This window comes from Homo sapiens, chromosome 19 (genome assembly GCF_000001405.40).
Source record: "Homo sapiens chromosome 19, GRCh38.p14 Primary Assembly".
Taxonomy (NCBI): Eukaryota; Metazoa; Chordata; class Mammalia; order Primates; family Hominidae; genus Homo; species Homo sapiens.
The window spans coordinates 840821-865820 of record NC_000019.10 but is presented as its reverse complement, the minus strand read 5'-3'; the positions used below and the strand labels follow the sequence as shown (position 1 = coordinate 865820).

At 58.5% G+C, this 25000-nt stretch overlaps 3 protein-coding genes across 5 annotated transcripts, besides 1 other annotated feature; all 3 read right to left on the bottom strand.

Moving 5' to 3' along the window:
- CFD (complement factor D) lies at positions 2180 to 6157 on the bottom strand. 2 transcript variants are annotated; one of them, NM_001317335.2, is made up of 5 exons: positions 6056 to 6157; positions 5048 to 5204; positions 4816 to 4960; positions 3865 to 4122; positions 2180 to 2729 (listed from the first exon to the last, which is right to left on the bottom strand). In NM_001317335.2, exons 1-5 carry the CDS (start codon positions 6129 to 6131, stop codon positions 2583 to 2585), a joined length of 783 nt encoding a protein of 260 aa, NP_001304264.1. In that variant the 5' UTR covers positions 6132 to 6157; the 3' UTR covers positions 2180 to 2582. The 2 variants fall into 2 exon arrangements, with proteins under 2 accessions (NP_001304264.1, NP_001919.2); NM_001928.4 differs by having other exon boundaries at positions 6077 to 6157.
- On the bottom strand, positions 9578 to 13518 carry ELANE (elastase, neutrophil expressed). Its single transcript, NM_001972.4, has 5 exons — positions 13426 to 13518; positions 12789 to 12945; positions 12418 to 12559; positions 10027 to 10257; positions 9578 to 9863 (listed from the first exon to the last, which is right to left on the bottom strand). The coding sequence occupies exons 1-5, from the start codon at positions 13490 to 13492 to the stop codon at positions 9657 to 9659; spliced, it is 804 nt and encodes a 267-aa protein (NP_001963.1). The 5' UTR covers positions 13493 to 13518; the 3' UTR covers positions 9578 to 9656.
- Positions 14284 to 14996: an enhancer, noted in NCBI's record as "H3K4me1 hESC enhancer chr19:850825-851537 (GRCh37/hg19 assembly coordinates)". NCBI's record gives its function as "activates a minimal SCP1, AML or CMV promoter by ChIP-STARR-seq in naive H9 embryonic stem cells {active_cell/tissue: H9 hESC(naive)}" and the evidence as "EXISTENCE:reporter gene assay evidence [ECO:0000049][PMID:30033119]".
- Positions 17646 to 24822, bottom strand: PRTN3 (proteinase 3). 2 transcript variants are annotated; one of them, XM_011528136.2, is made up of 5 exons: positions 24752 to 24822; positions 22195 to 22360; positions 21787 to 21928; positions 19444 to 19674; positions 17646 to 18071 (listed from the first exon to the last, which is right to left on the bottom strand). In XM_011528136.2, the coding sequence occupies exons 1-5, from the start codon at positions 24810 to 24812 to the stop codon at positions 18051 to 18053; spliced, it is 621 nt and encodes a 206-aa protein (XP_011526438.1). In that variant the 5' UTR covers positions 24813 to 24822; the 3' UTR covers positions 17646 to 18050. The 2 variants fall into 2 exon arrangements, with proteins under 2 accessions (XP_011526438.1, NP_002768.3); NM_002777.4 differs by having other exon boundaries at positions 17646 to 18022.
- Between the last annotated feature and the right edge of the window lie 178 nt (positions 24823 to 25000).

Below are 25000 nucleotides of genomic sequence, written 5' to 3'. Positions count from 1 at the left end.
GACCCAGGCAGGAGGATCACTTGAGCCTGGGAGTTCAAGACCAACCTGGGGCAACATGGCGAGACCTCATCTCTACAAAAATCTTAAAAATTAGCTGGGTGGCCAGGCGAGGTGGCTCATGCCTGTAACTCCAGCACTTTGGGAGGCCGAGGGGGGGCGGATCACCTGAGGTCGGAAGTTCGAGACCAGCCTGACCAACATGGAGAAACCCCGTCTCTACTAAAAATGCAAAATTAGCCGGGCGTGGTGGCGCATGCCTGTAATCCCAGCTACTCGGGAGGCTGAGGCAGGAGAATCGCTTGAACCATCAGGCAGAGGTTGCAGTGAGCCGAGATCGTGCCATTGCACTCCAGCCTGGGCGACGAGAGAGACTCCGTCTCAAAAACAACAAAAACAAAAACGTGAAATTCACACAGTGAGCTCCAACTTCGTGGTGGTCACCAGACGGCTGAATGGGCCCCCTTCCGTGCAGTGCAGTATTTACCAAATTCCTAAGAGCAGGGCTGGGGCTTAGATGTGTCTTACCGTGCCCGGCCCAGGGCTCTGCACACAGTAAGTGCTCAATACGTGCTTGCACGTCAGTGTGATTCCTAGGTGAGTGTTCCATAGCCCCAAAAACACCCAAGCACAGTGTTCATCAATCCATCCCCCCTTTTCCCAGCGGACCTGCCTCTCAGATCATCAGTCTTTTTTTTTTTTTTGAGATGGAATCTCGCTCTGTCACCCAGGCTGCAGTGTAGTGGTGTGATCTCCACTCACTGCAACCTCCACCTCCCGGGTTCACGCCATTCTGCCTCAGCGTCCCGAGCAGCTGGGACTACAGGTGCCTGCCACCACGCCCGGCTAATTTTTTGTATTTTTAGTAGAGACGGGGTTTCACCGTGTTAGCCAGGATGGTCTCGATCTCCTGACCTCATGATCTGCCCGCCTCAGCCTCCCAAAGTGCTGGGATGACAGGCGTGAGCCACCGGCACCCGGCCCATCAGTCACTTTTTCTTTTCTCTTTTTTTTTTTTTTCTTTCTTTTTGAGATGGAGTCTCCTTCTGTTGCCCAGGTTGAAATGCAGTGGTGCTATCTCGGCTCACTGCAAGCTTCACCTCCTGGATTCAAGCTATTCTCCTGCCTCAGCCTCCCAAGTAGCTGGGACTACAGGCATCCGCCACCACGCCCGGCTAATTTTTTTGTATTTTTAGTGGAGATGGGATTTCACCGTGTTGGCCAGGATGGTCTCAATCTCCTGACCTTGTGATCTGCCCGCCTCGGCCTCCCAAAGTGCTGGGATTACAGGCATGAGCCACCGCGCCTGGCCCATCAGTCTTTTTCTACGATAGCGCCTGGCTGCCCCTCCACCAGGTGGGAGAAAGGGCACAGGGCCTCAGGTGTCCTCCCTGGCCTTGCCAAGAAGGGTGACCTGAGGTCCAGGGCCTCCAGCAAGCAGGTGCCGCTGCTCGTCGTCCTGGTGTGGGTCTGGCCGCACCCAGGGTGGTTTGTGAAGGCAGGCTCCGTGGCTCTGGGCTCCAGTCCAGGCTGTGTCCTGGAGCTTCTGTGTAAGGTCAGGAGAGTCGCACAGTCCCTGTGAGCCTCAGTTTCCCCTTATGGGATATGGGTCATAGGAACACGGCCTCGAAGGGTTTCTGTGCACCTGAGTCTCAGCCCACAGCCTTGCACACAGAAGACGCTCACATTCCCCTTGGTAAGCAAAGGGAAACGGTATGAGCCAGACCAGGAGGGGACACCCATGCCTGGCGGGCCTTCGCGCGTGTGTGTGTGTGTGTGTGGCAAGGGCGCCGCCGTGTGGCCGCGTCAGCCCCACGGAAGCGCTGGACCCGGAACTTCGCTGTATTCTCCGTTCTTGCGCTTTTATCTGTAGCTTCCCGCGTTCCTCTTTTTTTAATGTTTCTGTTTTTGTTTTGAGACAGAGTCTCGCTCTGTCACCCAGGTCGGAGTACAGTGGTGCGATCTCAGCTCACTGCAACCTCCGCCTCCCGGGTTCAAGCTATCCTCCTGCCTCAGCCTCCTGAGTAGCTGGGGCTACAGGTGCCCACCACCACGCTCAGCTAATTTTTTTTTGTATTTTTAGTAGACACGGGGTTTCACCATGTTGGTCAGGCTGATCAGGAACTCCTGACCTCAAATGATCCGCCCGCCTCGGCCTCCCAAAGTGCTGGGATTACAGGCGTGAGCCACCACGCAGAATTTTTTTTTTTTTTTTGTAGAGAGAGACAAGGTTTCACTCTGTTGCCCAGGCTGGAGGGCAGTGGTGCAATCACAACTCACTGCAGCCTCAGCCTCCTGCGTTCAAGTCATCCTCCCACCTCAGCCTCCTGAGTAGCTGGAACTACAAGCACCCACCTCCATGCCCGCCAATTGCCCAGCTAATTTTTTATTTATTTGTAGAGATGGAGTCGCGCTACGTGGCCCATGCTGATCTCGAACTCCTGAGATCCAATGATCCTCCCACCTCGGCCTCCCCTTCTGCATATAGTAGGTGCTCAATAAAGACCAACCAGATGCAGGAGTGGATGACTTCATTGCTCGGGACTTTGTTGCTTGGGTGACCCTGACCTTCAGGCCCCGGCACCCTAGGCCAGGACGCTGTCGATCCAGGCCGCATAGCTCGCCACGCGGGTGTAGATCCCGGGCTTCTTGCGGTTGCCGCAAACGCGCGAGCCCGAGGTGACCACGCCCTCGAGCACGCCCCCGCACACCAGCGGGCCCCCGGAGTCACCCTGCCGGAACAGGACGGGGCCGTGAGGGGCGGCCCGCGCCCACCCCGGCCTCACGTGTTAGACCCCCTCACCTGGCTGCCGCTCCCGCCCCACAATGCTCGCTCATCCCTCCCGTGTTAATTTGGTCTTCACTAGTCAATAGCCCCGCGCCACGCCTATCGCCTAGGCCACAACCACAAGCCACGCCCCTCTAGGCCCGCCCCCAGCTCCTGGCCACACCCCCTCTGGCCTCAACCTCACCACGTGTTCCCCCGACCCCACCCCGCTCCAAGCCCTTTCCAGTATGGGGGTCCCACACCTCATTCCTGCTCTTCCAAGCTTTGACTTGCCGTGGATCCCACTTCTGCCCTAACGCGTCTCAGTGGCCACCTGCTCTGCTCAGTCCCCACTCACCTCAGGCCACGCCCCTCCCTTAAGCCCCACCCAATCTTGGCCCCGGCTACCATGCAAGCCTCGGCTGGTCTTAAACCTCTGCCCTGCTCAGGACCCCTTCTCTTCCCTGCCACAGCAGGGATCCCGCTCCGCACCAGCCCTGCCCCTTCAGAGGTTCCCGCCCCTTCCACCTGCCCCGCCCCGTCCCCATGCCCCGCCCCTTCCTCCACGTGCCCGCCCCCTATACCTCCCACCCTTTCTCTGCCACCTGCCCTTTTGCCCGCCCTGACCCTTCTCCAGCCCCACCCTCCCCACAGGTACCGCCCCTTCCTCCATGCCCTGCCCCTCATGCCCCAACCCTCTTCCTGGCCTCGCCCCCTTGCAGTCCCGCTATTACTGGACTCCGCCCCCTCCTCGAGCCCCGCCCCCTATTCCCACCCTAACCCACAGGTCCTTCCACATCCCACCCGTTCCTGCCCTTTCTGCCCGCCCTGACCCTTCTTCAGCCCCACCCTCTCCAGAGGCCCCGTACCTTCTCCAGGCCTCGCCCCCAAGGCCCCACCCTACCCACATGCCCCGCCCCCTCATACAGGCCCCGCCCACGGGCCACCCTCATGCTCCGCCCATCTTCCAGTTCCCGCCCCCTACGCGCCCCGCCCCTTCCCTGGGCCCTGTTCCTACTTGCCCCCCGCTTCGCGCTCCCTCTGCAGGCCCTTCCCGGGGCCTGCAGGCCCCGCGTCTCCTCCCAGGCCTGAAGGCTCACCTTGCAGCTGTCCCGGCGATTGCTCTCCGCGCACATCAAGCGCTCGGTGATGGCGCCGTCGTGGTGCGTGCGCCGGTTGCAGGTGGCGCGGTCCAGCACTGGCAAGAGCACGTGCTGCAGGCTGTCCGGGCGGCGGCCCGCGTGGTTGACTATGCCCCAGCCGGCCACGTCGCAGAGAGTTCCCGGTGCCACGTCGCGGTCCACGCGCTGCCAGGGCAGGGGGCGCACAGCAGGGCCCAGTGTGGCCTTCTCCGACAGCTGAGGGTGGAGGCGGACGTCAGGGTTGGGGTGCGGGGGTGCGAGGCTGGGGAGAATGCCGCTAGGCTCGGGGAGACGGGACGGGGGAGGTGGGCATCAGGGCAGGGGCGTGGGTCTCAGTGCAGCAGGAGAGATTTAGGCTAGACCCTGGGTGGGGGTGCAGGTGGGGATGGGGTGGGTGCGAGGCTCACCAGTGCAGCTGCAAAGGTCGAGGCTGGAACCGGGATGGGGATGCAGGGGGAGCGGGGGGTGGGGGGCTCCCAGTGCAGCCGCAGAGGTCGAGGCTAGACCCGGGGTGAGGGTGCGGGGGTTGTAGGGCGGGGTCCCCATGCAGCAGGAGAGGTCGAGGCTGGACCCGGGGTGAGGGTGCAGGGGGTGGGGGGGCTCCGAGCGCAGCAAGAGAGGTCGAGGCTAGACCCGGGGTGAGGGTGTGGGGGTTGTGGGGCGGGGTCCCCATGCAGCAGGAGAGTTCGAGGCTGGACCCGGGGTGAGGGTGCAGAGGGTGGGGGGGCTCCGAGCGCAGCAAGAGAGGTCGAGGCTAGACCCGGGGTGAGGGTGTGGGGGTTGTGGGGCGGGGTCCCCATGCAGCAGGAGAGGTCGAGGCTGGACCCGGGGCGCGGTGTAGGCGGGGTGGAGTGAGGGTGGGCCGGGGATCCCAGCGCCGCAGGAGGGACTGCGCTACACGGGGCCGACCTGTAGCAGCAGGAGGTCGTGGTCGATGGTGTCGGGCTGGCTGTCCGGGTGGGGCACTGCGCGGAGCACGTCGTACAGGCGCTTGGAGGGCTCCGGCTGCGACAGGGAGTGCGCGCCCAGGAGAACCTGCACCTTCCCGTCGGCCCTGGGGACCGGACGGAGTCCGCGGTCGGTGCCAGCCGACTCCCCCCACCGCACCCGGGCTCTTCCCCCGCGCGGCGCGGGCACTCACGCGTCCTCCAGGCAGTGCGCCGCGCTCAGCACCCACTGCTCCGCCACCAGGACGCCGCCGCACAGGTGCGCGCCGTTCAGCTGCACCGACGCCATGTAGGGCCGCGCGTGCGCCTCGGCCTCTCTGCCGCCCAGGATCCGACCACGGGGCGGCGCCGCTGTGGGTGGGCGGGCGCGTGAGGGCCGCGGGGTGGACTCCTCCCCCGGGCGAGGCTGCCTGACGGGATCCCAGCTCTCACCCCCCAGGCCGCTCCCCGCAAGAATCCCATCTCTGGGCGCGGTGGCTCACGCCTGTAATCCCAGCACTTTGTGAAGCCGCGCGGGGGCGGGGGGGGAGGGGGGGGTGCAGATCATGAGGTCAGGAGTTCAAGACCAGCCTGGCCAATATGGTGAAACCCCGTCTCTACTTTAAAAAAAAATACAAAATTTAGTCGGCGTGGCCTATAATCTCAGCTATTCGGAAGGCTGAGGCAGGAGAATCGCTTGAACCCGGGAGTCGGAGTTTGCAGTGAGCCGAGATCGCACCACTGCACTCCAGCCTGGACGACAGAGCGAGACTCCCTATCAAAAAAAAAAAGAAAGAAAAAAAAGAATCCCGTTTCCGTCTTGGGGCCCCTCAGCGTTGCAAACTCAGATACCCTCGGGCGGGAATGCCCCAGAGTACAGAACCCACAGTGGGCTGGGGACCGGGGGCAGATCCCAGCGCCCTACCCTGGGCGCAGTGCCTTCCAGTTGGACATAAGAGAAATGGGGCTGACCCAGCCAGTGCCTGGGCCAGCCCAGTCAGCCACGCAGATGAAGTTTTCCACGCAGACGTTCAGACTCTGTCTGCAAGAAAAGCTGACTCCAGAAAGTTCCGATTTCCAATCTGAATTTTCTAGAATTTTTCAGCGTTCAGAGCCTTCCATTAGTGAGGAGAGACACCCCCTTCCTGCCCACCTGGAGGGGCTGGAGGACCGTCCGTGTGACGGAAGGGAGCACCACGCCCCTACACAGCCCTGTCCCTCACCCCAGGCCCAGGCCTCCTCACCGCAGGCGGCCGCTCCTAGGAGGACCAGAACTGCCAGGCGCTCCCAGCTGTGCATGGTGAAGCCGCTGTGGCTGAGACACTGACCCAGGCAGGGCCCTGGGGGTGCTTTTATGAGGGTGGAGGGGGCGGGCCGCTCCCCGGGTGGGCAGCGGCCCAGCTGGGGAAAGGGGAACTCGCCCGCCCAGCCTCCGCCCTCCCCGGGACTGGGTTACCTCCTGCCAGACTCACACCAGAGTCGACAAGTCGCTGGGAGACCCTCGGGCCTCTGTGAGCCTGACAGCCTGCTGGCCCTGGTGGGGGGCAGTCCCTCAGATGGGCAGGAGGCAGAGAGGGGGGCTGCACCCACCCCGGCCCCAACTTCACCACACCCAGAGTCCCCCAGGGTGTTTCACAATCCTAGCTGGAGGCCACAGCGTGTAAACAACCCACTTTCTTGTCCTGCTACCCTCCCTTCTTTTCCTCCTCTATATTAGAGAGAAGGTCTGTTGGGGGTAGGAAGGTCACTTGACACCTTTGTCTCTGTCCCTGTGGCCTCTGGGGCTTGACACCCTGACGAATAGAAAGTTGGAAAGGCCAAGGCAGAGGCAGCTGGGAAGACTGGCTACAAGGGACAGGAAAACCCAGACAAACTGGGTGGAGCCTGAATCATGAAAGTTATATGGAAAGTTCAGGGATGTCCGCCTTCAGGTGTGGCTTGATCCAGGTGCCTGAACAATGTCCAGTGTCTGCTTCTGGCTTCTCCTTTCTTCTCTGATGGCTTCTTTCCTCACCAGCCTCCCCTGGTGTGTTTCCAGGGACCCCACACTCAACCCAGTGGCTCAGTGGGCCCCTCCTAAAATTCTTCCTCACTCCAGCCAAGTCTCAAGGGTGCCTTGGGTTGGTGGAGCCTGGATCACACGCCCCCTCCCAAACTGTTCACTGAGGGCAGGTTCTGATGAACAGAGTCAGGGCTGGCCGGGCACAGTGGCTCCCACCTACCATCCCGGCACATTGAGAGACCCAGATAGGAGCATCTCTTGAGCCCAGGAATTCAAGGCCAGCTTGGGGAAGACGGCGAGACCCCATCTCTACAAAAAAATTAAAATAAAATACTTCTCAGAATCTGGGCCATAGGGCCTTTTGTGAGGTGGGGATTTGTGTGTGTTGTTTTTGTTTTATTACAGACAGGGTCTTGCTCTTTCATCCAGGCTCGAGTGCAGCGGTGCAATCATAGCTCACTGCAGCCTCCTCGACCTCCGGGGCTCAAGTGATCCTCCCACCTCAGCCTCCAGAAGTGCTGGGACTGCAGGCCTGCTCATGGTGTAGCTCCATTTTTCACATCTGCCCCACAGGGGCCAGCGGGATTCACGTTGCATTAATCCATGGTGCGGGGACCAGAAGGATGGGGATACCTTGTGGGGAGGACCTCAGACATTGTCCCCAGGGGGAGCAGCACACGAGGTTCCCCCGGCTTTTCTCTTCACCATGGATCATTTCTTTCTTTTCTTTCCTTTTTTTTTTTTTTTTTGAGACGGAGTCTCGCTCTGTCGCCCAGGCTGGAGTGCAGTGGCGCGATCTCAGCTCACTGCAAGCTCCGCCTCCCGGGTTCACACCATTCTCCTGCCTCAGCCTCCGGAGTAGCTGGGACTACAGGCGTCCGCCACCACGCCCGGATAATTTTTTGTATTTTTAGTAGAGATGGGTTTCACCGTGTTAGCCAGGATGGTCTCGATCTCCCGACCTCGTGATCCGCCTGCCTCGGCCTCCCAAAGTGCTGAGATTACAGGTGTGAGCCACCACGCCTAGCCTCATTTCCTTCCTTCCTTTCTCTGTTTTTCTCTTTCTTTCCCTTTCTTTTTCTTTCTTTCTTTCTCTTTCCTTCTTTTTTTCTTTCTTTCTTGCTTTTTTTTTTTTTTTGCGACAGAGTCTTGCTCTGTCGTCCAGGCTGGAGTGCAGTGGCACAATCTCGGCTCACTGCGACCTCCACCTCCCGGGTTCAAGCGATTCTACTGCCTCAGCTTCCCGAGTAGCTGGGATTACACGCATGAGCAACCACACTGGGCTAACTTTTTGTATTTTTAGTAGAGACAGGGTTTTGCCATGTTGGCCAGGCTGGTCTCGAACCTCTGACCTCAGGTGATCCGCCCACCTCGGCCTCCCAAAGTGCTGGGATTACAGGCATGAGCCACCATGCCTGGCCCCCTGTGGATTATTTCATACGCACAGAGAATAGAAAATGATATAACAACAGGGCTGGGCGTGGTGGCTACGCCTGTAATCCCAGCACTTTGGGAGGTCAAGGCGGGCGGATCACGAGTTCAGGAGATCGAGACCATCCTGGCTAACACGGTGAAACCCCGTCTCTACTAAAAATACAAAAAATGAGCCGGGCGTGGTGGCGGGCGCCTGTAGTCCCAGCTACTCGGGAGGCTGAGGCAGGAGAATGGCGTGAACCCGGGAGGCGGAGCTTGCAGTGAGCCGAGATCGCGCCACTGCACTCCAGCCTGGGCGACAGAGCGAGACTCCATCTAAAAACAAAAAAGAAAAAAACACAATGTGGGGAAGTCACTTCTGCTCCATTGCCCTGGCTGTGCTGCCCCCTGGTGGTGGCTTACTCCAGAGATGCCCAAGAGACTCTGGATTCTAGTTTGTTGTTTATTATTATTATTATCATTATTATTTATATTTATTTATTTATTTATTTATTTATTTATTTATTTATTTATTTATTTTTGAGATGGAGTTTCGCTCTTGTTGCCCAGGCTGGAGTGCAATGGAGCGATCTTGGCTCACTGCAACCTCCACCTTCCAGAATTCAGGTGATTCTCCTGCCTCAGGCTTCCCGAGTAGCTGGGATTACAGGCATGCACCACCACGCCCGGCTAATTTTGTATTTTTAGTAGATATGGGGTTTCTCCATGTTGGTCAGGCTGGTCTCGAACTTTAGACCTCAGATGATCCGCCTGCCTGGGCCTCCCAAAGAGCTGGGATTACAGGCACGAGCCACCGCACCGGTATTTTTTTTTTTTTTTTTTTTTTTTGAGACGGAGTCTCTCTGTGTTGCCCAGGCTGGAGTGCAGTGGCGTAATCTCGGCTCACTACAGCCTTCGCCTCGCAGGTTCAAGCGATTCTCCTGCCTCAGCCTCCCACGCGCCACGACGCCAAGCTAATTTTTTTTGTATTTATAGTAGAGATGGGGTTTCACCACGTTGGCAGACTAGTCTTGAACTCCCGACCTCAGGTGATCTGCCAGCCTCGGCCTCCCAAAGTGCTGGGATTGCAGGCGTAAGCCACTGGGCCAGGCTTGGACCATTTTATTTTATTTTATTTTATTTATTTATTTTTTTTTAATGGAGCGGGGGTTTTGCCATGTTGCCCAGGCTGGTCTTGAACTCCTGAGCTCAAGTGATCCGCCTGCCTCAACCTCCCAAAGTGCTGGGATTACAGGTGTGAGCCACCACGCCCGACCTACTGACCATTTTCAACACCCAATCACACAGCCAAGGAGCATCAAACACATTCTACAAAACAGAGAATGTTTATTGTGCCAGATGCTGGAGAGTGTGGGTGTGGGCAGCTGAGGTGACCCGGGCAGCCCTTCTCAGTGGGTCCTGCTGGCCGGGTCCGGGTCCCGGGGGTGGGGACAGGGGTTGTCCTCGGAGCGTTGGATGATAGAGTCGATCCAGTTTACAAACTGTGCCACCGGGGCAAAGGCATCGGGGTAGAGCCCTGAGGCGCAGCCTCCCCGGACGAAGGAGGCAATTCCGTGGATTAGCCCGTTGCAGACCAAGGGGCTGCCGGAGTCCCCCTGTGGAGGCAGACAAGGTGGGGAAGCTGGACTGCGAGGCCCTGCCCACCTGCCCGCCGCCTGTCAGGGTTGGGAAGTCCCTCCTAGGGTCTAGCCACGGTGCCTGTTGCTGCAGTCCGGGCTGGGAGCGGGTGGGGAGCAGAGGGACACCCAGGGCACGTACGAAACAGACGCCGGCCTGCCGGCCCCTCACGAGAGTGCAGACGTTGCTGCGACGGCAGAGGGACGTCACCACCGTCACGTTGAGCTCCTGCAGGACGCTGGCGATCCCACGGTTCCTGCCCAGAAGGCCCCAGCCCATGGCCAGGCACTGCACCCCGTTGCCCAGGCGGCGTCCCTGAGCCGGCAGCTGGGCCACCTGCACGTTGGCGTTGATGGTGGCCGACCCGTTGAGCTGTGGCGGTGGGGACAGATCGTCAGCGCGTCACACGGGGCAGTGATGATGACCCTCCCCTCTCCGGGCCTCAGTTTCCCCATCTCAGGTTCCACTGTGGTTCTGGGATCCTGCAGGGCAGGATACCCACCCCACACTCTGCTCCCCAAGGCAAGCCTCGGTTTCCCCATCTGTAGAGTGGGAGCCGTCACCAAGGCTCAGGGCGTTGGAGGTTGTCCCTGGATGTGGCTTGAGTGCAGGAAGCAGTAGGTGCTCAGTTAACAAAAAAACTACAGCCGGGCGCGGTGGCTCATGCTTGTAAGCCCAGCACTTTGGGAGGGCGAGGCAGGAGGATCACTTGAGGCCAGGCATTCAAGACCAGCCTGGGCAATGTGGCAAAGCCCCATGTCTACAAAAATAATAAAAAAAAATTGCCAGGTGCGGTGGCTCACGCCTATAATCCCAGCATTTTGGGAGGCTGAGGTGGGCCAATCAAAAGGTCAGGAGATCAAGACCATCCTGGCTAACATGGTTAAACCCCGTCTCTACTAACAATACCAAAAATTAGCCAGGCGTGGTGGCGGGCGCCTGTAGTCCCAGCTACCTGGGAGGCTGAGGCAGGAGAATCGCTTGAACCTGGGAGGCGGAGGTTGCAGTGAGCTGAGATTGTGCCACTGCGCTCCAGCCTGGGCGACAGAGCGAGACTTGTCTCAAAAAATATATATATATGTGTGTATATATATATTTTTATTATTTTATAAAAATATTTTTATATATTTTATATTTATTATTTTATAAAATAATAAATATTATAATTATAAATGATATTTATAATTATATAAATATTATTATAATTATAAAATAATTATAAATATTATATATTTTATTTAAATAAAATATATATTTATTATTTATAATATATGTATGTGTGTGTGTATATATATATATTAGCCAGACGTGGTGGACCCACGTGGTGGCACCTGTGGTTCCAGCTACCCCCCATTCCAAGCTGAGAGGGTGGCTTGAGCCCAGGAGATGGAGGCTGTAGTGAGCTGCGATCGCGCCACTGCACTGGGTGAGAGCTATGAGAAAACTTAGTGACAAGGAAACTCTCCCTCTAACCCTTCCCAGGGAGGAATCTTTTTTTTTTTTTTTGAGACCCAGGCTGGAGTGCAGTGGTGTGATCTCAGCTCACTGCAATCTCCGCCTCCGGGGTTCAAGCGATTCTCCTTCCTCAGCCTCCTGAGTAGTTGGCATTACAGGCACCCACAACCACACTCGGCTAATTTTTTTTTTTTGTATTTTAGTAGAGACGGGGTTTCACTATGTTGCTCAGGCTGGTCTCGAACACCTGACCTCGTGATCCACCCGCCTCAGCCTCCCAAAGTGCTGGGATGACAGGCCTGAGCCACGGGGCCCGGCGCCCAGGAAATAACCAGAACTGCAAGCCGCGGACAGGGGTGGAAAGGTGGGGACTTTTGCCCCTTTTCCCAAAGACAGAGGCGGCCCCTGCCCTGGGCCACAGGACTGGTGAATGGAGAGACACAAAGAATCTCAGTAAGTTTGTTGATTGACAGCAGATCGGGGCCTCCCTTCTCAGTAAGTTTGTTGATTGACAACAGATCGGGGCCTCCCTTCTCAGTAAGTTTGTTGATTGACAGCAGATCGGGGCCTCCCTTCTCAGTAAGTTTGTTGATTGACAACAGATCGGGGCCTCCCTTCTCAGTAAGTTTGTTGATTGACAGCAGATCGGGGCCTCCCTTCTCAGTAAGTTTGTTGATTGACAACAGATCGGGGCCTCCCTTCTCAGTAAGTTTGTTGATTGACAGCAGATCGGGGCCTCCCTTCTCAGTAAGTTTGTTGATTGACAACAGATCGGGGCCTCCCTTCTCAGTAAGTTTGTTGATTGACAACAGATCGGGGCCTCCCTTCTCAGTAAGTTTGTTGATTGACAGCAGATCGGGGCCTCCCTGCAGGATCTCATTTAACCCCTCAACGGCCCATGGCGGGTATTTTCCCGTTTCACAGAGGTGCAGACCGAGGCGCGGAGAGGGGACCACCCAGCCCACGATGCCACCCCAGGTCCCCACGAGCGGCCCCGACGCGCCCCTCCGTCGCAGCCTCCACCCTCCCCAGGCCTCTGGCCTCCGCCCCTGCGCCCCCCGCCCCGCCCGGCGGCACCTGGAGAATCACGATGTCGTTGAGCAAGTTTACGGGGTCGTAGCCGTTTTCGAAGATGCGCTGCACGGCGAACACCTGCCGGGTGGGCTCCCGCCGCGAGAGGTTATGGGCTCCCAGGACCACCCGCACCGCGCGGACGTTTCTGCCGGGGAGGGAGAGGCGGGGCTCAGGGGCGGCCCCGGGGGTCGGGGCTCAGCCGCGCCTTGTCGTCCCCATCCGGCGACGGGCCTGAGGGCGAAGGTGCTCGAGGGGCCCCGCGGGCCCTGGACGGACCCCCCCCCGCCAGCAGCCCCGGCCCCGGCCTCCCCCCACCCACCTCACAGACCGGGACGCGGGGTCCGAGCCGGGCGCGCACACTCCCGGCTACTCACACATTCGCCACGCAGTGCGCGGCCGACATGACGAAGTTGGGCGCAATCAGGGTGGCGCCGCAGAAGTGGCCTCCGCGCAGCTGCAGGGACACCATGAAGGGCCACGCGTGGGGCCGCGCTCGCCGGCCCCCCACAATCTCCGAGGCCAGCGCGGTGCCTGGGGACACACCGGGTGCGGGTGCTGAGTGCCTGCCAAGGAGCCTGTCCCCTCCCGGCCACGGGGCCTCTGGATCCCCCACCAGGAACCCACGGGATCCCCCACCGGGAACCCACGGGATCCCCCACCGGGAACCCACGGGATCGGGGCCGTTCGCACCCCTGTTGTTCAGATGAGGAAACTGAGGCACGGAGAGGCAAAGGGACCTCCCCACGGTGCCCCTCCAAGGCACAGACAGACCTGGACTTGAACCCAGAGGGCGACCTGCGACCCCCCCCCCCTCCCCGGTTTTCAAACCCCAACTCTGGGCTCCTGGTGGTGGCTTCACCGCTCAGAACCTCAGTCTCTTCTGGTCTCCTTGTCCCAGCTGGCACCTCCCCTGTGAGGATGAGGGACCCACACTGGTGGGGCCCTCTATGGAGAGGTGGGAACAGAACCCGGGACAGAGGGAGCAGCGGGAGGTTGGACTCAAAAACTCACCCCCCAGCAGCAAGGCCGGCAGGACACAGGCGAGGAAAAGACACGCGAGTCGGCGGCCGAGGGTCATGGTGGGGCTGGGGCTCCGGGGTCTCTGCCCCTCCGTGCCCGCCCGGCTCCTCTTATAGCCCTGTGCTGGGAGGCCGTTGCATTGCCCCACGGCCGGCCAGCGCCCTCCACTTCCTCTCCCCTGGCACAGGGCGTTGATGAAAAGGGGGAGAAGGGGGACAAGACGCTGGATTGGCTCGGGTGGGGCCTCCAGACAAAATTCAGGATGCACAATCGCATTCAAATGTCAGATAATCAATGTGGGTTTTTTAATTTATTTTTTTGGAGACAGAGTCTTGCTCTATCGCCCAGGCTGGAGTGCGGTGGCGTGATCCCGGCTCACGGCAACCTCCGCCTCCCAGGTTCAAGTGATTCTCCTGCCTCAGCCTCCTGAATAGCTGAGATTACAGGCACCTGCCACCACTCCCGGCTAATTTTTGTATTTGTAGTAGAGACAGTGTTTCGCCCTGTCGGCCAGGCTGGTCTTGAACATCTGACCTCGGGTGATCCGCCTGCCTCAGCCTCCCAGAGTGCTGGGATCACAGGCGTGAGCCACTGCGCCTGGCTAATTTTTTGTATTTTTAGTAGAGACGGGGTTTCACCGTGTTGGCCGGGCTGGTCTCGACGTTTTTTTTTTAATCTAAGTCTCTTCCAAATGAGGCCCAGGATATACTTACCCGAAATTCAGATTTAACCGAGCGTTGCTGTGTTTTTGCCAAACCTGCCAAACCTAGACCTGAGGGACTTGATGGGGGTGGCCTCGCCTGCCTCAGTTTACCCAGGGCCCCGTGATACCGGCCACATGCAGCTGTGTCGCCTGCCTCTGTTTATCCAGGGCCCCGTGATACCGGCCACATGCAGCTGTGTCACCTGCCTCAGTTTACCCAGGGCCCTGTGATACGGCCACATGCAGCTGTGTCGCCTGCCTCAGTTTACCCAGGGCCCTGTGATACCGGCCACATGCAGCTGTGTCGCCTGCCTCAGTTTACCCAGGGCCCTGTGATACCGGCCACATGCAGCTGTGTCGCCTGCCTCAGTTTACCCAGGGCCCTGTGATACCGGCCACATGCAGCTGTGTCGGGCACTCACTGCGCAATAGGCACTTCTCTGGTCCTTCCCAGGGTTCCTGTTTGGGAACTGAGGCACGTCAAGGGCCTCCCCCAGGAGCTGCGAGTGTAACCCAGGCCTCTGGGACCCGCAGCTGGACGGAGATCTGGGGCCGGCTCACTCCAGCCGCTCCCTGAACCTCAGGGCTCATTCTTGGGGGCCAGGCCTTCCATCCTCTCCTCGTCTGTTGCCTCCAACGGGGAACTCACTTTCACCCAGGCTCACGGTCAGTCCCTGGACACCAGCTGGGGCTCTGACAATCTCTCCCGCCCTTCTGCCTTGGTGAGCTTCCCTGAAGCCCTCCCCGCCTGAGGCAGGGGCTGGGCGGGCATCTGGCAGGGCTGCTGGAGAGAGAATTCCTGTCCAGGCCGGGAGGCTGGAGTGAGGACCAAGCCTGAGGGCTTCCGCCTGGAGGAACTGGCAGGGGAGCTGGAGTCCCAGCTGCGGGAAAGGGATTCCCAGGACCCAGCCCCGGGCTCCGGGCCCCGTTCCTCTTCCCATCTCCCCCACGATGTTCCAGCTGCAACGGCCGGGCCAAGGCTGTCGCAAGAACCAACGTCCTCCTGGCTCCAGGACAAGGGGAGGGGAAGGGAACCAACGGGCCTGTCTCCAGGAATAGGCGGGGCGAGGGCACCCGGGGACACGCAGAGCCTGGGCCAGGCTGGAGTCCTGACGTGACCACAGGCAAGTGGACCCCCATGGCTCTCGGGTTAGGGAGACAATGGCCCTGCCCTCCCAGAGCCTGGCACACAGCAGGCGCTCAGTCCATGTCTGCCCTGTCCTCAGCTTAATCAGACACACACTACCCTGCCTTCTCCCCTCCCCTTTTGGCAGGGTTCCCACCTTGCTGCCTTAACATCACCACAGTGCACTTAGTAAGCGCCTACTGTCTACACAGCCCTGTTTCAAGTCGGGGGTGGGGGGATTTCAGGGGTGGGGGACGCCGTATCTTTGGAAGGGGCTTGGCCTCCAGCACGGAGATCAGACTTGGCGTCAGCTGCATTTATTGAGCACCAGCTGTATACTACATTCTCACGTGCAGTCATTATTAAGTGTGCCGACGCTGGGTTCATATCCTGGTTCTGGTGTGGCCATTTGGCCACTGTGTAACTTCAGGCCCCTGAAATAAACTCTCCGTGACTCAGTTTCCTCCTCTGTAAAATTATAATCGTAGGATCCATCACATAAACCTGTCAAGAGGATGAAATAAATTCACGTTCATAAAGTTCTTAGCTAAGAAAGTGTTGTCTGGCCGGGCGCGGTGGCTCAGGCCTGTAATCCCAACACTTTGGGAGGCTGAGGCGGGTGTATCACCTGAGGTTGGGAATTCCAGCCTGACCAACATGGACAAACCCCGTCTCTACCAAAAATACAAAATTAGCCTGGCGTGGTGGTACCTGCCTGTAATCCCGGCTACTCGGGAGACTGAGGCAGGAGAATTGCTTGAACCTAGGAGGCGGAGGTTGCAGTGAGCCGAGATCATGCCACTGCACTCCAGCCTGGGCGACAGAGCGAGACTCCGTCTCAAAAAAAAAAAAAAAAAAAAAAAAAAAAAGAAAGTGTTGCTTTGAGAGCTGGTTCACCATTAACTGTGGCAGGGAAGGTAGGGGTGTTATGGTCACAGCGGGTGTAGACTCCGAGGGGGACGTGGGGTCTTCTGGGAGGCCAGGAGATTGCTAAGATTACAGTGACCTGGAGGTGTTCATATGTAAAGAGTCACTGAGGACCCACCTGGGCAACACAGCCAGACCCCGTCTCTACAAAAACTAAGAAAATAGCTGGGTGTGGTGGCACCTGTAGTCCCAGCTACTCGGGAGGCTGAGGTGGGAGGATCACTTGAGCCCAGGAGGTTGAGGCTGCGGTAAGCCAAGATTGCACCACTGCACTACAGACTGGGCGACAGAGTGAGACCCTGTCTCAAAAATAAATAAGTAGGCCAGCTGTAAATAAGTAAGTAGGCTCACGCCTGTAAACCCAGCACTTTGGGAAGCTGAGGCGGGTGGACCACCTGAGGTCAGGAGTTCGAGACCAGCCTGGACAACGTGGTGAAACCCTGTCTGTACTAAAAATATAAAAATTAACTGGGCGTGGTGGTCTGTGCCTGTAGTCCCAGCTACTCCGGAGGCTGAGGCAGGAGAATCGCTTCAACCCGGGTGGCGGAGCTTGCAGTGAGCCGAGATCACACCACTGCACTCCAGCCTGGGTGACAGAGCGAGACTCTGTCTCAAAAAAATATTAAAAAGAAAAAAAAAACACCAGCAATGAGCTTCATTTCTTCTCTACACGTGTCCTGGAGCAGGTCGTCCCCTCTCTGTGGCTAATGCCTCCTTCTAGTGGCCACTTGCCCGTCTTTGAGCTGGACTGTGAGTCCCACCTCTTCCCCGCCTCGGACCTCCCCTCTGGCCACCCCCCCACCCAGTTCATTGCTCATGCTTCTACCAGGGAACTCCTGCCCTGCCTACCCCTCCTACGAGAAATAGCGCTCCAACCCCATTACCCCTCCCCTGCACCCACATCCCTCCCCTGCCTGCCCTCCTCCCCGTCCCCTGGCCTCTAGCCCTCAGGTCTCTGCCTGGACTGTGCCCCCTGCCTGGCAGCCCTTCGGATGTTTCTGTTCACACCTTGATATGCAGCTCTGGCACTGCCACCTCCTCCAGGAAGCCCCCCAGGCTGCTTCCCCATCCCCATCCCCTTCCTCAAGGAGTCCCTGAGCCAGCAGGGACAGTTCTAGGAAACGTCTGGGGCGAGTCCATTTTCCAGATGAGGAAACTGAGGCACGGAGATGAATAACAACCTGCCCAGGGCCACCCTGATGGGGCCGGGTTAGAACCCACAGCCACGAGCATCCAGGAGAGAGACCCCCTGCAACCTGGGCCCCCATCCCCCGCTCCGACTCCCCCCATCCTGAGTTTGGGGCTCGGGGACTTGAACCCAGGGGACCTCTCCCTGGTTCCCTCCCTATATGGGAAGGACAGACAGGAGCCAGGGGGAGTTTCAACGTTTATTGAGGTCACGGTGGGCAGTTCCCCCTCCCCTCCCTATATGGGAAGGACAGACAGGAGCCAGGGGGAGTTTCAACGTTTATTGAGGTCACGGTGGGGTGAGGTGCAGGGCCGGCCTGTCTCCCGGAGCCCCGTGGGAGGGAGTGTGGGGGGACGGGTGGGGCCGTCCCGGACGCCACAGTGTTCGGGGAAGAGCTGCTTCTGTCCAAAGATCCGCCTCGAGGGTTTGGAGCCAGGCTCGGGGTCCCGGCCAGCGCTGTGGGAGGGGCGGTTCAGGGGCGGCCCTTGGCCTCCACACGGCGCAGCGTGGAACGGATCCAGTCCACGTAGAGGGCTACCCGCGTGAAGAAGTCAGGGAAAAGGCGGGTGGCACATCCCCAGATCACGAAGGAGTCTATTCCTTGGATGATGCCATCACAGATCAGGGGGCCACCTGAGTCTCCCTGGAGGACAGGGACGGCCAGTCACCCATCAGGGGCCACCTGAGTCTCCCTGGAGGATGGGGACGGCCAGTCACCCATCAGGGGCCACCTGAGTCTCCCGGGAGGATGGGGACAGCCAGTCACCCGGGCTGGCCCCAGGCAGCCAGGAAGGGGGCTGGGGTAGCCACAGCTGTTTCAGAATAAAATGCTTCCAATATGGAACTTTCTTTCTTTCTTTCTCTCTCTCTCTCTCTCTCTCTCTCTTTCTTTTTCTTTCTTTCTTTCTTTCTTTCTCTCTTTTTCTTTCTTTCTTCTTTCTTTCTCTCTCTATCTCTTTCTTTCTTTCTCCTTTTGTTTTGTTTTGTTTTGTTTTTGTTTTGTTTGCGACAGAGTCTCGCTCTGTCACCCAGGCTGGAGTGCAGTGCCGTGATCTCGGCTCACTGCAACCTCTGCCTCCCGGGTTCAAGTGATTCTCCTGCCTCGGCCTCCCGAGTAGCTGGCTGTCTTTCTCTCGAGACAGGGTCTCGCTCTGTTCTCCAGGCTGGAGTGCAGTGGCACAATCATAGCTCACTGCAACCTCGAACTCCCCAGGCTCAAGTGATCCTCCTGCCTTAGCCTCCTGAGTAGCTGGGCCTACAGGCTCACATCACCATGCCCAGCTAATATTTAAATTATTTGTAGAGATGCCACCCTGCTATGTTGCCCAGGCTGGTCTTGAACTCCTGGACTCAAAAGATCCTTCCGCTTTGGCCTCCCAAAGTGCTGAGATTACAGGCGTGAGCCACCACTGCTGGCCTGGAATTTTCTTTAAAATGTGTGAGCACCAGCCAGGCATCACTTGATGCCAGGAGTTCAAGACCAGCCTGGTCAACATGGAGAAACCTCATCTCTACTAAAAATACCAAAAAAATTAGCCAGGCACGGTGGCAGGTACCTGTGCACCTAGTTACTCAGGAGGCTGAGGCAGGAGAATACCTTGAACCTGGGAGGTGGAGGTTGCAGTGAGCTGAGATCTCACCACTGCACTCCAGCCTGGACAACAGAGCGACACTCCGTCTCAAAAACAAACAAAAAGTGTGAGCAGGGAGGGGCTGAGGTCTTTCGTAGGAACTGGGCATTTATGGGCCTCCCGCTGGATACCTGGAGTCCTGGATTCTGGAAGGGGCCGCCGGTGAGGGCGGATGGGTCTCCCACACCTTCCTGTGGTCCTAGAGGGGAGTGGGGGGCAGGGAACCCCCAGACCCACCCAAGCAGCCAGGTGCAATGTGAGCGCCCCCACCCCGCTGAGCCTGCCCGTTGGGTGTTGGGTGTGCCCACCTTCCAGGTGGGGAGACTGAGGCACAGCATGAAGCCACACAGCTAAGAGGTGGCGTGGAACCCTGGCCGCCGCCCTCCTCCCCTCATGGCAGCCCGGTGCCCGGGGTGGGGGCACGGTTACTTACGAAGCAGATGCCGGCCTTGCGGCGAGGGACGAAAGTGCAAATGTTATGTGGCCGGCAGAAGAAGGTGACCACGGTGACATTGAGCTCCTGCAGGACCTGGGCTGGGGGGTCGTGGGCACCCACGCGGCCCCAGCCCATGGCCAGGCACTGGGTGCCGTGGGGCACTGGCTGGTCCTGCTGTGGCAGCTGGACTGTGGCGACGGAGGCACTGAGGTTGGCTGGGCTGCTCAGCTGGGGCAGAAGGCAGGCGGCGGTGAGACGCTGCTTCCAGGTCACGGTGGCCGCCCGGGCCGCCCTCCCACCACACCCACCACACCCACCACCTCAAAACGCCGCGGATGCCGCTCCCTCCGCCTGGGCCCCACGACCCCCTTTGTCCCATTTGTCACTATTGTATTCATTCATTTTCTTTCCTTCTTTCTTTCTTTTGAGATGGAGTCTTGCTCTGCCACCCAGGCTGGAATGCAGTGGCGTGATCTCGGCTCACTGGAACCTCCCGGAGCCATCCCATTGGGTGAGGTGGCCAGCCTGGTCTCAAACTCCCAACCTCAAGTGATCTGCCTTCCTCAGCCTCCGAAAGTGCTGGGATTACAAGTGTGAGCCATAGTGCCCGGCCATTCATTCATGTTTTCTTTCTTTCTTTCTTTTCTTTTTTTTTTTTTTGAGATGGAGTTTCGCTCTTGTTGCCCAGGCTAGAGTGCAGTGGCACAATCTCGGCTCACTGCAACCTCTGCCTCCTGGGTTCAAGCAATTCTGCTGCCTCAGCCTCCCAAGTAGCTGGGACTACAGACACCTGCCGTCACGCCCAGCTAATTTTTGTATTTTTAGTAGACACGGGGTTTGCCATATCGATCAGGCTGGTCTCAAACTCCTGACCTCAGGCGATCCGCCCGCCTCGGCCTCCCAAAGTGCTGGGATTACAGCCACCGCCCCTGGCCCATTCATTCATCTTCAAAGCACTTTTTTTTTGAGATGGGGTCTTGCTCTGTCGCCGAGGCTGGAGTGTGGTGGCATGATCACAGCTCACTGCAGCCTCAACCTCCTGGGCTCAAGTGATCCTCCCATCTCAGCTCATGAGTGGCTTGGCGTGTGCTACCATGCCCGGTTGATTTTTAAATTTTTCTTTTGTAGGCTGGACGCGGTGGCTCTCTCCTATAATCCCAGCACTTTGGGAGGCTGAGGAGAGCAGATCACTTGAGGTCAGGAGTTCGAGACCAGCCTGGCCAACGTGGCAAAACACCGTCTCTACTAAAAATACAAAAATTAGCCAAGCGTGTTGGTGCATGCCTGTAATCCCAGCTACTCAGGAGGCTGAGGCAGGAGAATTACTTGAACCTGGAAGGCAGAGGTGGCAGTGAGCCGAGATTGCACCACTGCACTCCAGCCTGGATGACTGAGTGAGACTCTGTCTAAAAAAAAAAAAAAAAAAAATGTCTTTTATAGAGATGGGGTCTCACTAGGTTGGTCAGGCTGCTCCCAAACTCCTGGCCTCAAGTGATCCTCCCATCCCAGCCTCCCAAAGTACTGGGAGTACAGGCGTGAGCCACAGTGCCCAGCCCCAAGCACTTACTGAGCACCACCTGTATGCCCAGTCCCGTTCTAAGCCACATGAGTCCAATAACGAACAACACAGACAAAAATCCTCTGCCCTGGGGAGCTGATCTTTCTGGGTGGGAGGAGGCTAGGAGGGCCCCATGAATGAGAGGAGCACGCGGTTCAGTGGAGAACAGTGAATCGGGGAGGGCTGTGGCTGTCCTCGCCACTTCCAGTGAGGTCAGGGGAGGCGCCGGAGGAGGCGAGGGCACCTGGCTTTCTGGGGGAACAGCACACCGGGCGGAGGCGCAGGCAGGGGAGAGGGGCAGGCAGGGGAGAGGCGCGCAGGGGAGAGGCGCGGGCGGGGGAGAGGCGCGGGCGGGGGAGAGGAGCGGCCGGGGGAGAGGCGCGGGCAGGGGAGAGGCGCGCAGGGGAGAGGCGCGGGCAGGGGAGAGGGGCGGGCAAGGGAGAGGCATGCAGGGGAGAGGCGCGGGCAGGGGAGAGGGGCGGGCAAGGGAGAGGCGCGGGCGGGGGAGAGGCGCGGGCGGGGGAGAGGCGCGGGCGGGGGAGAGGCGCGCAGGGGAGAGGCGCGGGCGGGGGAGAGGCGCGGGCGGGGGAGAGGCGGGGAGGAGGAGTGGCCTGGTGTCCAAGGAGCGGTCTCCCCCGGCCAGTGCCACTGGACCCAGGCTGCAGCGGCCTCGGTCGTGGCCCGGTATACAGTGGGTGCTCAATGAATGCTGGCTGCAGGAATGGGGGTCCCGGAGCCCTCTGGCCGTGCCCCTCCGAGCCCTCGCGGCCCTGCCCGCCCACCTGGATGAGGAGAACGTCGTTCAGTTTGTTCTCCGCGTCGTAGTTGTTCAGAAACACCTGAGCCACCGAGAAGTGCTGCTGGGTGGGCTCCTGCGTCCGCACGTTGTGGGCTCCGAGCACCACGTTCACCAGGCGCTGGGGTCTGCGGGGGTGGGGTGGTCACTCCTCGGCGCCCTGGACACTCGCCGCCGCCCACAGCCGGCCCTTCCCGAGGCCGCGGTGCAGCCCCAGACCCCTCCCTCGGCGACCCTGCCCCGGGCCTCCCCCCAGAACTGCCCACGCGCGCGGGGCCTGGGGTCTGCAGACGGGGCTTAGCTGGGTCCTCCCCGGGCAGAGGGACAGTGGCCGGGCCAGGGCTGGAGGAAGAGGGCGGGGCGGGCGGACAGGGGTGTGGAGGCGGCCGCTCACATGTCCCGCAGGCAGTGCGCGGCCGTCAGCACGAAGCTGGGGTGGATCAAGGTGCCTCCGCAGAAGTGGCTGCCCGGGTTCCCCCGCATCTGCAGGGAGGCCATGTAGGGCCGGGAGTGTGGCTGCGCCTCGTGCCCGCCCACGATCTCCGCAGCTCGGGCAGCACCTGCAGGGGGGGAGTCCAGGCGTCAGGGAGCCCCCAGGCTGCAGGGAAAGGGGGGATGGCAGAGCAGCCCCTGGGCCTCTCCGAGCCTCCGTCTCCCGATCTGCAACCCGGTCAGTGCCTGCTGGCTGGTGGGAAGGACTCAGCGCCCAGGCCGGGGGGGTTATAATTACGACGATTTCCAAAGGCGCCCTGGTGGCAGCTTTCAGTCCTGAGAGTCAGGAAGGCTTTTAAGACGCAGACCAGGTGGCTGGGTGCAGTGGCTCACGCCTGTAATCCCAACACTTTGGGAGGCCGAGGCAGGAGGCTCCCTTGAGCTCAGGAGTTCAAGACCAGCCTGGGCAAAATTGTGAGGACCCCATCTCTACAAAAAATTTTAAAATTAGCCAGGCATGGTGGTGTGCACCTGTCGTCCCAGCTACTTGGGAGGCTGAGGAGGGAGGATCGCTTGAGCCCAGGAGGTCAAGGCTGCAGTGAACTGAGATCACACCACTGCACTCCAGCCTGGGCAACAGAGCAAGACCCTGTCTCTAAAACAAAATTTAAAAAAATGTTTTTAAAGAAGCAGAAAAATTGGTCGGGTGCGGTTGGCCCACGCCTGTAATCCCAATACTTTGGGAGGCCGAGGTGGGTGGATCACCTGAGGTCAAGAGATGGAGACCATCCTGGCCAACATGGTGAAACCCTGTCTCTACTAAAAATACAAACATTAGCTGGGCGTGGTGGCACGTGCCTGTAGTCCCAGCTACTCCGGAGGTTGACGCAGGAGAATCGCTTGAACCCAGGAAGCGGAGGTTGTGGTGAGCCAAGATCGCCCCACTGCACTCCAGCCTGGCAACAGAATGACACTCCGTCTCAAAAAAAAAAAAAAAAAAAATTAGCCAGGTGTGGTGGTTCGCACCTGTAATCTCAGCTGCCTGGGAGGCTGAGGCAGGAGAATCGCTTGAACCCAGGAGGCACAGGTTGCAGTGAGCCGAGATCACACCACTGCACTCCAGCCTGGGCAACAGAGTGAGATTCTGTCTCAAAAAAAAAAAAAAAAAAAAAAAATCCTGGGCGCAGTGGCTCATGCCTGAGTGAGACCCCATCTCAAAAAAACAAAACAAAACAAAATAAAAAAAAAGAAGCAAAAAAAAAAAAAAAAATCAGCCAACAAAGAGACCCATTTTGCAGATGAACAAACTGAGGCATTGAAAATCCCCCTCAGGTCAGGAGTTCGAGACCAGCCTGACCAACGTGGTGAAACCCCATCTCTACTAAAAATACAAAAACTAGCCAGGTGTGGTGGTGTGTGCTTGTAATCCCAGCTACTCAAGAGGCGGAGGCAGGAGAATCATTTGACCCCAGGAGGCTGAGGCTGCAGTAAACTGAGATTGCACCACTGCACTCCAGCCTGGGCGACAGAGCAAGATTCCGTTTCAAAAAAGAAAAAAAAAGGGCCAGGCGCGGTGGCTCACGCCTGTAATCCCAGCACTTTGGGAGGCTGAGGCAGGCGGATCACGAAGTCAGGAGATCGAGACCATCCTGGCTAACACCTTGAAACCCCGTCTCTACAAAAATTACAAAAAATTATCCAGGCATGGTGGTGGGCGCCTGTAGTCCCAGCTACTCGGGAGGCTGAGGCAGGAGAAAGGCGTGAACCCGGGAGGCTGAGCTTGCAGTGAGCCGAGATCGCGCCACTGCACTCCAGCCTGGGCGACAGGGCGAGACTCCGTCTCAAAAAAAAAAAAAAGAAAAAGAAAAAGAAAATCACCCTCAGGATAGGGACCTGAGGGGGCCCATGCTCTCTTCTTCCCCTGATTCCAGCATCACTAACTCCTCGACCCTTTCACTCACTCACTCATTCATTCATTCACTCATTCATTCGTTCACTCATTCACTCATTCACTCATTCATTCACTCATTCACTCATTCATTCACTCACTCATTGATTCATTCACTCATTCATTCGTTCACTCATTCACTCATTCACTCATTCATTCACTCACTCATTGATTCATTCACTCATTCATTTGTTCACTCATTCACTCACTCACTCATTCATTCACTCATTCATTCATTCATGCATATTCACTGAGCATTTGCTGAAGGCTGGGTGCTGTCCAGGAATTCGCCTGTTACTAGCTAATTCCCAAAACAGCTCCTCAGGAGGGAAGGGCTGGGTTTTGCCCGTTTTACAGATAGGCAACTGAGTCAAATGGCCAGGGCTCCCCCTTGCCCTTGTCCTCCCCACCCCTGCAAGCGTTGGTCCCGAGCAGTGAGTGGAGTCTCCCCTGACCCTGCCTCAGTTTCCCCAGCTGTGCCAGAAGGGCTTTGGATGGACCTCGTGGTGGATATTTCCCCACAATCCACCGGGGCCTGGAGGCTGGATGGATGGGCACGTGGCTCACTCACCGCTCAGCAGCAAGGCCAGCAGCACGGACGCCAGGGCAGGGCTGGGGGGCCGGTGAGCCATGGTGGGGTCCAGGGTGCACCCACGGTCAAGCTCCTCTTATAGCCCAATGCCAGAGGCCGTTGAGTTGCCCAATGCCCAGGCTGGGTCCCCACTTCCTCCTTTTGCCTTGGGAGCCTGGGAGTCAGAACGGACTCCGGGGAGGAGGTGGGGGCTTTGGGCTCAAGGTCCCAACCTTTGTGGGGGCGGGG

Excerpts from the sequence above, each read along its gene's own strand:
- CFD (NM_001317335.2), bottom strand. The coding sequence starts at position 6,131 with ATGCACAGCTGGGAGCGCCTGGCAGTTCTGGTCCTCCTAGGAGCGGCC. Across the intron at positions 5,205-6,055 it reads TGAGGAGGCCTGGGCCTGGG|CGGCGCCGCCCCGTGGTCGG; the intron begins GTGAGGGACAGG and ends GCCCACCCACAG. Across the intron at positions 2,730-3,864 it reads ATCGCCGGGACAGCTGCAAG|GGTGACTCCGGGGGCCCGCT; the intron begins GTGAGCCTTCAG and ends CTGTTCCGGCAG.
- ELANE (NM_001972.4), bottom strand. The coding sequence starts at position 13,492 with ATGACCCTCGGCCGCCGACTCGCGTGTCTTTTCCTCGCCTGTGTCCTG. Across the intron at positions 12,560-12,788 it reads GCGCACTGCGTGGCGAATGT|AAACGTCCGCGCGGTGCGGG; the intron begins GTGAGTAGCCGG and ends CCTCCCCGGCAG. Across the intron at positions 9,864-10,026 it reads GGCAGGCCGGCGTCTGTTTC|GGGGACTCCGGCAGCCCCTT; the intron begins GTACGTGCCCTG and ends CTGCCTCCACAG.
- PRTN3 (NM_002777.4), bottom strand. The coding sequence starts at position 24,812 with ATGGCTCACCGGCCCCCCAGCCCTGCCCTGGCGTCCGTGCTGCTGGCC. Across the intron at positions 22,361-24,751 it reads GCTGGCCTTGCTGCTGAGCG|GTGCTGCCCGAGCTGCGGAG; the intron begins GTGAGTGAGCCA and ends CCCCCCCTGCAG. Across the intron at positions 18,023-19,443 it reads GCAAGGCCGGCATCTGCTTC|GGAGACTCAGGTGGCCCCCT; the intron begins GTAAGTAACCGT and ends CCTGTCCTCCAG.